Genomic DNA, 13,621 nt, shown 5'->3' with positions numbered 1-13,621 from the left:
ATTTTGCTTTCTTAGCAGATATAGAAACTACTATTTTGTTTCTTCTGATTCATACATGCATTCATTGACTCAACAAAAAAAAGAGTGTTTTCTATGTATTAACTACTGCAAATAATGATCATGCTGATTATGATCAATGCTGCACAATCCCTGGTCAAGGAAAATTTTTAAAACTTTAAACTTGAATGTTCAGCAATAAATTATATATCCAAAGAGCTACAATTTGTGGCTACATTAATAGGGTTAAGAAAGTATGAAAGTAGCAGAGCACATCTCACTGGACTGGGAAGTGAAGCCCAAATTAAAAATAATTACAGACACAAAAAAACCCTTCAAAAAATTAATGAATCCAGGAGCTGGTTTTTTGAAAAGATCAACAAAATTGATAGACCACTAGCAAGACTAATAAAGAAGAAAAGAGAGAAGAATCAAATAGACGCAATAAAAAATGATAAAGAGGATATCACCACCGATCCCACAGAAATACAAACTACCATCAGAGAATACTACAAACACCTCTATGCAAATAAACTAGAAAATCTAGAAGAAATGGATAAATTCCTCAACACATACACCCTCCCAAGACTAAACCAGGAAGAAGTTGAATCTCTGAATAGACCAATAACAGGCTCTGAAATTGTGGCAATAATCAATTGCTTACCAATCAAAAAGAGTCCAGGACCAGATGGATTCACAGCCGAATTGTACCAGAGGTACAAGGAGGAACTGGTACCATTCCTTCTGAAACTATTCCAATCAACAGAAAAAGAGGGAATCCTCCCTAACTCATTTTATGAGGCCAGCATCATCCTGATACCAAAGCCAGGCAGAGACACAACCAAAAAAGAGAATTTTAGACCAATATCCTTGATGAACATTGATGCAAAAATCCTCAATAAAATACTGGCAAACCGAATCCAGCAGCACATCGAAAAGCTTATCCACCATGATCAAGTGGGCTTCATCCCTGGGACGCAAGGCTGGTTCAATGTACGCAAATCAATAAATGTAATCCAGCATACAAACAGAACCAAAGACAAAAACCACATGATTACCTCAATAGATGCAGAAAAGGTCTTTGACAAAATTCAACAACATTTCATGCTAAAAACTCTCAATAAATTAGGTATTGATGGGACATATCTCAAAATAATAAGAGCTATCTATGACAAACCCACAGCCAATATCATACTGAATGGGCAAAAACTGAAAGCATTCCCTTTGGAAACTGGCACAAGACAGGGATGGCCTCTCTCACCACTCTTATTCAACATAGTGTTGGAACTTCTGGCCAGGGCAATTAGGCAGGAGAAGGAAATAAAGGGTATTCAGTTAGGAAAAGAGGAAGTCAAATTGTCCCTGTTTGCAGATGACATGATTGTATATCTAGAAAACCCCACTGTCTCAGCCCAAAATCTCCTTAAGCTGATAAGCAACTTCAGCAAAGTCTCAGGATACAAAATCAATGTACAAAAATCACAAGCATTCTTATACACCAATAACAGACAAACAGAGAGCCAAATCATGAGTGAACTCCCATTCACAATTGCTTCAAAGAGAATAAAATACCTAGGAATCCAACTTACAAGGGATGTGAAGGACCTCTTCAAGGAGAACTACAAACTACTGCTCAAGGAAATAAAAGAGGATACAAACAAATGGCAGAACATTCCATGCTCATGGGTAGAAAGAATCAATATCGTGAAAATGGCCATACTGCCCAAGGTAATTTATAGATTCAATGCCATCCCCATCAAGCTACCAATGACTTTCTTCACAGAATTGGAAAAAACTACTTTAAAGTTCATATGGAACCAAAAAAGAGCCCGCATCGCCAAGTCAATCCTAAGCCAAAAGAACAAAGCTGGAGGCATCACCCTACCTGACTTCAAACTATACTGCAAGGCTACAGTAACCAAAACAGCATGGTACTGGTACCGAAACAGAGATATAGATCAATGGAACATAACAGAGCCCTCAGAAATAATGCCGCATATCTACAACTATCTGATCTTTGACAAACCTGAGAAAAACAAGCAATGGGGAAAGGATTACCTATTTAATAAATAGTGCTGGGAAAACTGGCTAGCCATATGTAGAAAGCTGAAACTGGATCCCTTCCTTACACCTTATACAAAAATTAATTCGAGATGGATTAAAGACTTAAACGTTAGACCTAAAACCATAAAAACCCTAGAAGAAAACCTAGGCATTACCATTCAGGACATAGGCATGGGCAAGGACTTCATGTCTAAAACACCAAAAGCAATGGCAACAAAAGCCAAAATTGACAAATGGGATCTAATTAAACTCAAGAGCTTCTGCACAGCAAAAGAAACTACCATCAGAGTGAACAGGCAACCTACAAAATGGGAGAAAATTTTTGCAACCTACTCATCTGACAAAGGGCTAATATCCAGAATCTACAAAGAACTCAAACAAATTTACAAGAAAAACAAAACAACCCCATCAAAAAGTGGGCAAAGGACATGAACAGACACTTCTCAAAAGAAGACATTTATGCAGCCAAAAAACACATGAAAAAATGCTCACCATCACTGGCCATCAGAGAAATGCAAATCAAAACCACAATGAGACACCATCTCACACCAGTTAGAATGGCAATCATTAAAAAGTCAGGAAACAACAGGTGCTGGGGAGGATGTGGAGAAATAGGAACACTTTTACACTGTTGGTGGGACTGTAAACTAGTTCAACCCTTGTGGAAGTCAGTGTGGCGATTCCTCAGGGATCTAGAACTAGAAATACCATTTGACCCAGCCATCCCATTACTGGATATATACCCAAAGGACTATAAATCATGCGGCTATAAAGACACATGCACACGTATGTTTATTGTGGCACTGTTCACAATAGCAAAGACTTGGAACCAACCCAAATGTCCAACAATGATAGACTGGATTAAGAAAACGTGGTACATATACACCACGGAATACTATGCAGCCATAAAAAATGATGAGTTCATGTCCTTTTTAGTGACATGGATGAAACTGGAAATCATCATTCTCAGTAAACTATCGCAACAACAAAAAACCAAACACTGCATATTCTCACTCATAGGTGGGAATTGAACAATGAGAACACATGGACACAGGAAGGGGAACATCACACTCTGGGGACTGTTGTGGGGTGGGGGGAGGGAGGAGGGATAGCTTTAGGAGATATACCTAATGCTAAATGACGAGTTAATGGGTGCAGCACACCAGCATGGCACACGTATACATATGTAACTAACCTGCACATTGTGCACATGTACCCTAAAACTTAAAGTATAATAATAATAAAAATAAAAAAATAAAAATAATTACAACAAAATAATGATGATTCTTATTACATTTCACTCATACTCTTGAGTGCCTGATACGTGCAAGTCATTGGTTGGGTGTTATCTTGTTGAATCTTCACAACAAACTAATGAGATAGTTATTATTTTCATCATTTTATAGATCAGGCAATTGAGATGCAAAGGCATGCAATTAGTATTAATAGAGCTAAAACTGTAATGGAAGCAGAACAGCTCCAAAATATGTGTGTTTAATTACACTTATACATCAAAGAGTTGATATTTGAATTCTTTATAATTAACAAATAGAGAATTGAGCACATACAATATATCAAGTGGTCTTGGATGCTAAGCCTAGTGGCTCACACAGTAATAATGCATTATATAACATGATGTATAATAAATTATATCCCCTATACATGTATATGTTATAAAACTACTGATACATATTGTTATAAATTTAATAATACTGTGGTTAATTTTATGTGATATTTGTAACTTGGCAATGCAGGCCTGGACTTTAATCCTTATGGTAGAATTGGAAATGGAAGAAGGATGAGATATTCCTATGTATTTTACTTATTTATGTAGTCATTTGTGTCATTTACTTTAATAATTAATGCCACTTTGGAAAATTTTGTTTAATATTTCTTCTACTTCCCCTTGTAACCCTGTTAATTGGGAAATATGAAAACTTAAGAAAACTTATATTTCTGCTCCGAGATCAAATGGTATTTTATTTAAAAGAACAGCATGAAATATGTCTTTGTGTCTATCATATCCTTCCATACTACTAGACTTTAGACTACTATGAAGAATTTGCTAGCACCCTTGAGGATCAGCACTGGCCCTACTCCTTGAAGGCCATATATAAGTATAATGTCAGAGTAGATTTGGCAGGCTTTCTTACACAGTAATTGGGGGTTATAATTTAACTGATGCTTGATTTTGATATAAACTGTGTAATCTAAAAGAATAACATACATATATACATACACAGACATATCTATATCCTGAGCATGCCAATTTCAACTTACCAACACACACCCACACACATAGATATAATAAACAGTGAGCAAGTAAAATTCAAATCAAATTTGTGTGATAGATACTATTTTGTTGATCTCCACTCAAAACCCAGATATGATATACATATATATCATATATATGTCAATTTCAACTTACCAACACATACATACACACATATGTACATATGCATGTATACATATACATTCATGTACATATATACAAGTATATACATGTACATATATACAAGTATATATATACAAGTATATATGTACATATATACATATATAAACACATGCATATATATGCATATATACATATATGTATACATGTATATAGACACATACCTGTATATGTAGACATATATATATATATATACACACACACACACACACACGTACCAACATGTACATGTATATATATATACAGGTATGTGTCTATACACATATGAGATATGTGTGTGTATATATACATATATGTGTGTATATGTGTATATAGACACATACCTGTATATATACATGTACATGTTGGTATATACACACACACATACATACATATATATATCTCTCTCTCAGTGGACTTGGTTCTTTGGTGTCTCATAGATTCCCAAGATCACTGTTTCACAAAGTTTGATCTAACATTGGTGGATGATGTGCCTTCATTTTATCTATTGGCCTATAACAAAGAATGTAAAAGAAATAGTGCGTTATTTCACATGGAAGTCAATATAAGGTGTAATTTGGTTAATATAAGGTGTAATTTTATAATGTAGTTGGCATTCTAATAAAAAAACTTCATCATATTCTTTAACTTTTAGGTTCAGGGGTACATGTGCAGGTTTGTTAAATAGGTAAATTGCATGTCACAAGGGTTTGGTGTACAGATTATTTTATCACCCAGGTAATAAGCATAGTACCTGCTAGGTAGTTTTTCAATCCTTTCCCTCCTCCCACTCTCCACCCTCAAGTAGGTCCCGGTGTCTATTTCTGTCTTTGTGTGAATGTGTTCTCAATGTTTAGCTCCCACTAATAAATTAGAACATGTGGTATTTGGTTTTCTGTTCCTATGTTAATTCACTTGGGGTACTAGCCTCTAGCTGCATCCATGTTGCAGCAAAGAAAATGATATTGTACTTTCTTATGCCCACATGGTATTCCATGGTGTATATATACCACATTTTTTTATCCAGTCTACCGTTGATGAATATGTAGACTGATTCCATGTCTTTGCTATTGTGAATAGTGCTGCGATGAACATACTCACACATGTATCTTTATGGTAGAATGGTTTATATTTCTTTGGATATATACCCTATAAGGGATTGCTGGTTGGAATGGTAACTCTGTTTTAAGTTGAGAAATCATGACGCTGCTTGTGACAATGGTTGAACTAAGTTACATTCCTATCAGCAGTTTGTAAGTATTTCCTTTCTCTGAACCTCACCAGCAACTATTATTTTTTGACTTTTTTGTAATAGCCATTCTGACTGGTGTGAGACAGTATCTCATTGTGGTTTTAGTCTATATTTCTAACGATTAGTGATGTTGACATTTTTTCAAATGCTTGTTGACTACCTGTATGTCTTTTTTATTTTGTAAAGTTTCTGTTTATGTTCTTTACCCACTTTTTTAATGGGGTTGTTTTCACTTGTTAATTTAAGTCCAGAATAGTATTTCCTAGGCTATCTTCTAGGTGTTTTCATAGTTTTAGGTTTTATATTTAGGCTTTAATCCATCTCAAATTGAGTTTTTAACGTGGTGTAAGGGGTCCAATTTCTATTTCTACATATGACTAACCGGTTATCCTACCACCGTTTATTGATAGAGTGTCCTTTCCCCATTGCTTGTTTTTCCATTTGTTTGTTTCCTCTCTGATTTCTTTGAATAGTGTGTGTAATTCTCATTGCAGAGATCTTTCACCTTTCTGGATAGCTATATTCCTAAGTATTTTATTATTTTTGTGTCTATTGTGAATGAGAATGTGTTCTTGATTTCACTCAGTGTGGATGTTGTTGGTGTACAGGAATGCTACTAATCTTTATAGATGGATTTTGTATCCTGAACTGTTGCTGTAGTTGTTTATCAGATCTAGGAGCTTTGGGCAGAGACTATCAGGTTTTCTAGGTATAGAATCATATCATCTGTTAACAGGCATAGTTTAACTTCCTCTCTTCCTATTTGGATGCCTTTTATCTTTCTCCTACTTGATAGCTCCGGTTAGGACTTCCAGGACTGTGTTGAATAATAATGGTGAGAGAGGGCAACCTTGTGTTGTTCCAGTTTTTGAGGGGAATGTTTCCAGCTTTTGCCTATTCGGTATGATATTGGCTGTGGGTTTTTCATAGATGGCTCTTCTTATTTTGAAGTATGTTCCTTCAATGCCAATTTGATAAGGGTTTTTAACATGAAAGGATGTCGAATTTTATGGAAAGCCTTTCTGCATCTATTCAGATGATCAAGTGATTTTTGTTTTAGTTCTGTTTTGTGATGAATCACATTTATTGATTTGTGTTTATTGAACCAACCTTGCATCCCAGGGTAATGCCTATGTGATCATAGTGGGTTAGCTTGTTGAAGTGCTCCTGGCTTGAGTTTGCCAGTATTTTGCATCAACGCTTATCAACAATATTGGCCCGAAGTTTTCTTTCCTTCCTTGTGTCTCTGCCAGGTTTTGGTGTCAGAATTACGCTGGCCTCATAGAATGAATTAGGAAGGACTTCCTCTTCAATTTTTTGGAATACTTTCAGTAGAAATGGTGCCAACTCCTCTTTATCTATCTGGTAGAATTTGGCTGTGATTACATCTGGTCCTGGGCTTTTTCTGGCTGGTAGGCTTTTTATTACTGTTTCAACTTCAGGACTCATTATTGGTCTGTTCAGGGATTCAGTTTCTTCCTGGTTCACTCTTGGGACATTGTAGGTTTCTAGGAATGTATCCCTTTCTTCTAAGGTTTTCTAGCTTGTGTGCAGAGAGGTGTTTGTAGTAGTCTCTCAGGATGTTTTGTATTTCTGTAACATCAGTGGTAATGTCCTCTTTGCCATTTCTGATTGTGTTTATTCAGATCATCTTTTATTCTTTATTAATCTAGCTAGTGGTCTATCTTATTTGTTCTTTAAAAAAACAGCTCCTGGAATCACTGATCTTTTGTTTTTTTTGCATCTCAATTCCTATCAGTTCAGCTCTGATTTTGGTTATTTTTTTTCCATTGCTAGCTTTGGGATTGGTTTTGTCTTGTTTCTCTAGTTCCTCTAGGTATGATGTTGTTAATTTGAGATCTTTCTAACTTTTTGATGGGGACATTTAGTACTATAAACTTCCCTTTTAACACCATTTTAGCTGTGTGCCAGAGATTCTGATATGTTGCATCTTTGTTCTCATTTGTTTCCAAAAATTTCGTGATTTATGCCTTAATTTCATTGTTTACCCAAAAGTTACACAGGAGCAGGTTGTTTAATTTCCATGTAATTCTATGGTTTTGAGCAATTTTCTCAGTATTGATTTCTATTTTTATTGCATTGTAGTCTCAGAGTGGTGGTTGGTATGATTTCGATTTTCTTTGAATTTGATGCAGATTGTGTTATGACCACTTGTGTGGTCGATTTTAGAGTATGTGCCATGTTCAGATGAGAAGAATGTATATTCTGTTGTTTGCGGTGAAGAGTTCTGTAGATGTCTTTTAGGTTCAGTTGTTCAAGTGTCAAGTTAAGGTCCTGAGTATCTTTGTTGGTTTTCTCCTTTGATGATCTATCTAGTACTTTCAGTGGGGTGTTGAAGTCTCCCACTATTATTGTGTGGTTATCTAAGTCTCTTTATAGATCTCTAAGAACTTGCTTCATGAATTTTGGTGCTCCTGTTTTGGGTGTATATAAATTTAGAACAGTTAGGTCTTCTTGTTGAATTGAACCATTTACCACTGTGAAATGCCCTTTCCTTGTCTTTTTGGTCTGTGTTGGTTTAAAGTCTGTTTTGTTTGAAATTAGAATAGCAACCCTTGTATTTTTTTTGTTTTTCATTTGCTTGGCAGATTATTTGCTATCTCTTTACTTTGAACCTATTCCCTATTCGTGTCAATGCATGTGAGATGGTTCTCTTGAAGGCAGCACACCATTGGTTCTCACTTATTTATCCAACTTGCCACTCTGTGTCTTTTAATTGGGTATTTAACTAATTTACTTACAAGGTTAATATTCATATGTGTGGATTTGATCCTGTCATCGTGTTGTTAATGGTCAATGTCTTAGTGTCAATGGTCTATGTACTTAGGTGTGTTTTGGTAATGACTAGTATCAGTCTTTCCTTTCCATATTTAGCACTCCATTCAAGATCTCTTGTAAGTCAGATCTGGTGGTAACAAATTCCCTTAGCATTTGCTTGCCTGAAGAGAATCTTATTTCTCCTTCACTTAAGAAACTTAGTTTAGCTGAATATGAAATTCTTGGTTGGAATTTCTTTTTTTTTTTTTTTTTTTAACAATGCTGAATATAGGCCCAATCTCTTCTGGCTTGTGGGGTTTCTGCTGAAAGATCTTCTGTAGCCTGATGTGGTTCCCTTTGTAGGTGACTTGCTCCTCCTGTGTAGCTGTATTTAACATTTATTCTTTCATTTCAACCTTGGAGAAATCTGATGACTACATGTCTTAGGGATGATCTTAACACAGTATCTCATAGAGGTTCTCTGTATTTCATGAATTTGAATGTTGGCCTCTCTAGTGAGGTTGGGGAAATTTTCACAAATAATATCCTCAAATATGTTTTCCAACTTTGTTTCATCTTCTTTCAGTGATATTACTGAGTTGTAGATTTGGTCTCTTTATATAATCTCATACTTTTCAAAAGTTTTGTTCATTATTTTTATTTTAAATTCCTTTTTTATTTTTGTCTGACTTAGATCAGAGATCCAGTCTTTGAGCGCTGAGAATCTTTCCTCAACTTCATCTATCCTGCTATTAATACTTCCAGTTATATTATAAAATTCTCTATCAGTTCAGTTTGGTTATTTCTTATAATGCTCATTTCATCTCGCAGATTCTGCATCATTTTATTGTAATTCTTAGATTCATTGGATTAGGTTTTGACTGTGTTCTGAATCTCGAGGATCTTTGTTCCTAGCCATATTCTGAATTCTATTTCTGTCATTTCAGCCATATCAGCCTGGTTAAGAACCCTTGCTGGGAAACTAATAGTCATTAGGAGGAAAAAAGACATTCTGACATTCTGGCTGTTTGAGTTGCCAGAGTTTTTGAGCTAGTCCTTTCTCATTTGTGTGCGTAATGTTCCTTTAACTGTGGTGAAATTTGAGTATGGTCAGTTGACTTCTATTCTGTAGGTTTTCAGAAGCGCAAGGCTTTGTGCAGGGTCTTTGTAGCTGAATTCTTGTCCTTTGTTTCAAAGGGCACTATATTAGCAAAGTATTTTTAGTGCTGACATTTAGGCTGTGAATAGTAGATGGCACTTAAGTGTAATTACCAGTAGGTAGGTTTTTGCTTAGCCATATGGCTCCTCTGTATTTCCTCAGGGCTGCAGCCATGCTCCGTCTCAATGTTCTGAAAGTGGGGACTTCTTTCTCAATCAAGTGCTGCCTGCAGATCTTGGCTTGGCACTTTTGTGCTGCATGCCACTGTCCTGGGGTATGCTTAGGCTTTATGTTTCCTCTCCAACTTGGAGGCAGCAGGGGAAGATAGTTTGCTAGTGGCTGTGGCAGAGGGTCTTTCATTTGTCTCTTGGGATTCCAGCCCAGAGAAATTCACAGCTGCTACCAATCAGTGCAATCAACACACAGGTAGGGCAGCTGTGTTGTGGACCCAAGATGGTCAGCGGGGAGGACCTGCCTACTAATAAGCAGGGGTAATGGGGGACTCATCGGGGAGACAGACTGGCCTCTTCTTCTTAGGCCAGCTGCAGCTTGCTAGAGGTATGGATAAAGCACTCAGGGTCTTTGTTCCTTCCCCAGTCTGAGGGCAACCAGGGCAATACCAGTACAGAGGGACTTTCAGTTGACTCTGGGAGCTCCACCTCAGAGAAACATACAGCCACTGCTACTGACAATATTCAGCCAGGAGGTGGGGCAGCTGTGTTGCTGGCCAGAGCCAGGGACCCCACTTGGTGAAAAGCAGGTAGTCGCGGGCTTATGGGAGAAGAGACTGGACTCCTTTCCTTATGGTGACTATACTGGAAGCACGAGTAAAGCCCTCAGTCTCTTTCCCTAGTCCAAGTGCAGCAGAGGAAGATCTGCTGCCATAGCAATAGCAGAGGGGCTGTTGGTTGCCTCTGGGAGTACCACCCCAGACAAAGACAGAGGCACTACCAGTGGGAATCCTCATCTGAGGGTAGGGCAGCTGTTCTGTGTTCTGAGCCAGGGGTCCCGTCTAGTGTAGAGTTGGGAATAGGGGCTCATTGGGAAGAGAGCCTGGGCTCCTCTCCATATGGTGGCTGTGGTGTGCTGGAGGTGCCACCATAGCAACCAGGGCCTTTATTCCTCCCCCAGCCCAAGGGCAGCAACGATGGTACCACTGCAGCTGCAATGGCAGAGGGGCTGTGGGTTGTCTCTGGGATAAAGACAGAGCCACCACCAACTGAAGTGTTCAGGAGGAGGCAGGGTAGCCGTGCTGGAAACCCAAGTCGAGAGGCACTGTCCAGGGAGGAGTAGCAGGATTGGAGATCCATGTGGAAAATAGTCTGGCTGCTTTTCCATAAGGTAGCTGTGATGTGCTAGAGGTCCACATTAGTTCCTAATCACCGAACTCTCTTCCAAGCTTAAGGGCAACAGGAGTGAGGGCTGCAGTAAAATAGTGACCTGCCTGCTCACTCTGAAAGCGTCATCCCAGGGAAGTGCAGAGCTGCTACCCTACAAGAGCCCAGGGTGAGGATGGCTGGGATCTCAGCCTGGGAGGCCCCACCCAGGTATCCTTTCAACATAAAAATCATCTTTCAGCTCTCAACTTCCATATGCATATTCAAGGATTCACAGAGAAAGCAGAGTATTGCTAGTAGTCAGGATCTCAAATCCATGTTGGAAAATAATTGTACAACTTCAGAACAGGGAATTTGCTATGCTAGACTTATCAGAGAAGTATTCAGGACATAGGTAGGATTTGAAATAGGCCCTGAAGTAAGAAATATGATGGAAAAACAAATTTCATTTACTGATCATAAATGTACTGTGAAAAAGATCATACAAACAAATGGAAAAACATTCCCTGCTCATGGATTGGAAGAATCAATATCATTAAAATGGTCATGCTGCCCAAAGCAATCTAAAAATTCAATGTTATTCCTACCAAACTACCAAAGTCATTTTTTTCACAGAATTGTAAAAAACTATTCTAAAACTCAGATGAAACCAAAAAGCCTGAATAGCCATAGCAATTCTAAGTAAAAAGAACAAAGGCAGACACATTATACTACCTGATTTCAAACTATACTAATAGGCTACATAACAGAAATAAAAATGGACATACAAAACAGACATATAAACCAATAAAACAGGACAGAGAACCCAGAAATAAAGCCACACCTACAGCCATCTAATCTTTGACAAAGTTAGCACAAATAAGCAATGAGGAAAGGACTTCCTATTCAATAAATGGTGCTGGGACAGCTGGCTAGCCATATACAGATGATTAAAACTGAACCCCTTCCTTTCACCATATATAAAAATCAACTTGAAACAAGTTAAATATTTAAATATAAGACCTCAAACTATAAGAATCCAAGAAGAAAACCTAGGAAACACCAGTCTGGACAGCAGTCTTGGGAAAGAATTTATGATTAACTTTTCAAAAGGAATTGCAGCAAAAACAAAAATGGACAAGTGGGACTTAATTAAAGAGCTTCTGCACAGCAAAAGAAATTATCAACAGAGTAAACAGACAACCTTCAGAATGGGAGAAAATATTTGTCAATAGTGCATCCAACAAAGATCTAACACCCAGAATCTATTAGGAACTTCAAGAAAACAAGCAAAAAACAACCGCATTAAAAAAATGGGCAGAAGACATGAACAGAAACTTCTCAAAAGGAGACATACCAGTGGCCAACAAACATATGAAAAATATGCTTATCATCGTCAGAGAAATGCAAACAAAAACCACAAGATACCGTCTCACAATAGTCAGAATGACCATTTTAAAAAAGTCAAATACCAACAGATGTTGGTGAGGCTGTAGAGAAAAGGGAACACATACATTTTTGGTGGGAATGTAAATTAGTTCCACTACTATGGAAAGCAGTGTGAAGATTTCTCCAACTACTTAAAACAGAACTACCATTGGACCCAGCAATCCCATTACTCGGTATATACTTAGAGGAATAGAAATCATTCTACCATAAAGATACATGCGTGCAAATGCTCATTGCAGCACTATTCACAATAGCAAAGTCATGGAATCAACCTAGGTGCCCATCAACAGTGAATTGGATAAAGAAAATATAGTATATATACACCATAGCATACTATGCAGGCCTAGAAAAAGAATGAATTTTTGTCCTTTGGAGCGACATGGATGCAGCTGGAGGCCATTATCCTAAGCAAATTAATGCAGGAACAGAAAACCAAGTACCATACATTCTCACTTACAATGGGATCTAGACATAAGTATTCATGGACATAAATATGGCAATGATAGATACGGGGACTCGTAGAAGGGGGAGGGAGGGAGGTAAGCAAGGGTTAAAAAACTCACTGTTGGGTACTATGATCAGTACCTGGGTGACAGGATCATTCATACCCCAACCTCAGTATCATGCAATATACTCATGTACCAAACCTGCATATGTACCCCCTGAATCCAAAATAAAAGTTGAAAAAGAAAAAAAATAAATAAATAACAAATGAATGTACTATGAAGAAGAGAAATAAATTCACTTTCTTTGGCTAGAAATTAATAGTAGAACTAATAATAAATATCTGAACTTGTACATTTTATCTCAATCACAATAAGATTGGCTCTTAAGAATAGGGTCCTGATTCAACTATGATTTTTATTTGTTTGACTGATTTCCTTTTGGATAATGAAGGTATCTTTAGTCACCATATCTTCTGAGACATTTGTGGAAAAAAAATTTTAACAAAAGAATAATGGAAATCTGAAGGCCTGGCATGGTAGCTCATTCCTGTAATCTCAGTTCTTTGGAAGGCTGAGACAGGAGGATCGCTTGAGGTCAGGAGTTCAAGACCAGCCTGGGCAATACAATGAGACCTCGTCTCTGCAAAAATAAAAAATAAAAACTATCCAGGTGAGGTAGCACACATCTGTAGTCCCAGCTCCTTGGAAAGTTGAAGCAGGAGGCTTGCT

At 37.4% G+C, this 13,621-nt stretch overlaps 1 non-coding gene across 1 annotated transcript; it reads left to right on the top strand.

Annotated features, from left to right (window-relative positions):
• The first annotated feature begins 13,290 nt into the window (after window positions 1-13,290).
• On the top strand, window positions 13,291-13,374 carry LOC124900371 (small nucleolar RNA SNORD11). Its single transcript, XR_007064823.1, has one exon. It is a non-coding gene; the product is annotated as a small nucleolar RNA SNORD11 (small nucleolar RNA).
• The last annotated feature ends 247 nt before the right edge of the window (window positions 13,375-13,621 follow it).

Source organism: Homo sapiens, chromosome 15 (assembly GCF_000001405.40).
Source record: "Homo sapiens chromosome 15, GRCh38.p14 Primary Assembly".
In the NCBI taxonomy this organism is placed as follows: domain Eukaryota; kingdom Metazoa; phylum Chordata; class Mammalia; order Primates; family Hominidae; genus Homo; species Homo sapiens.
Note: the sequence above shows the minus strand (reverse complement) of the source record. Positions and strands in the feature narration are given on the sequence as shown.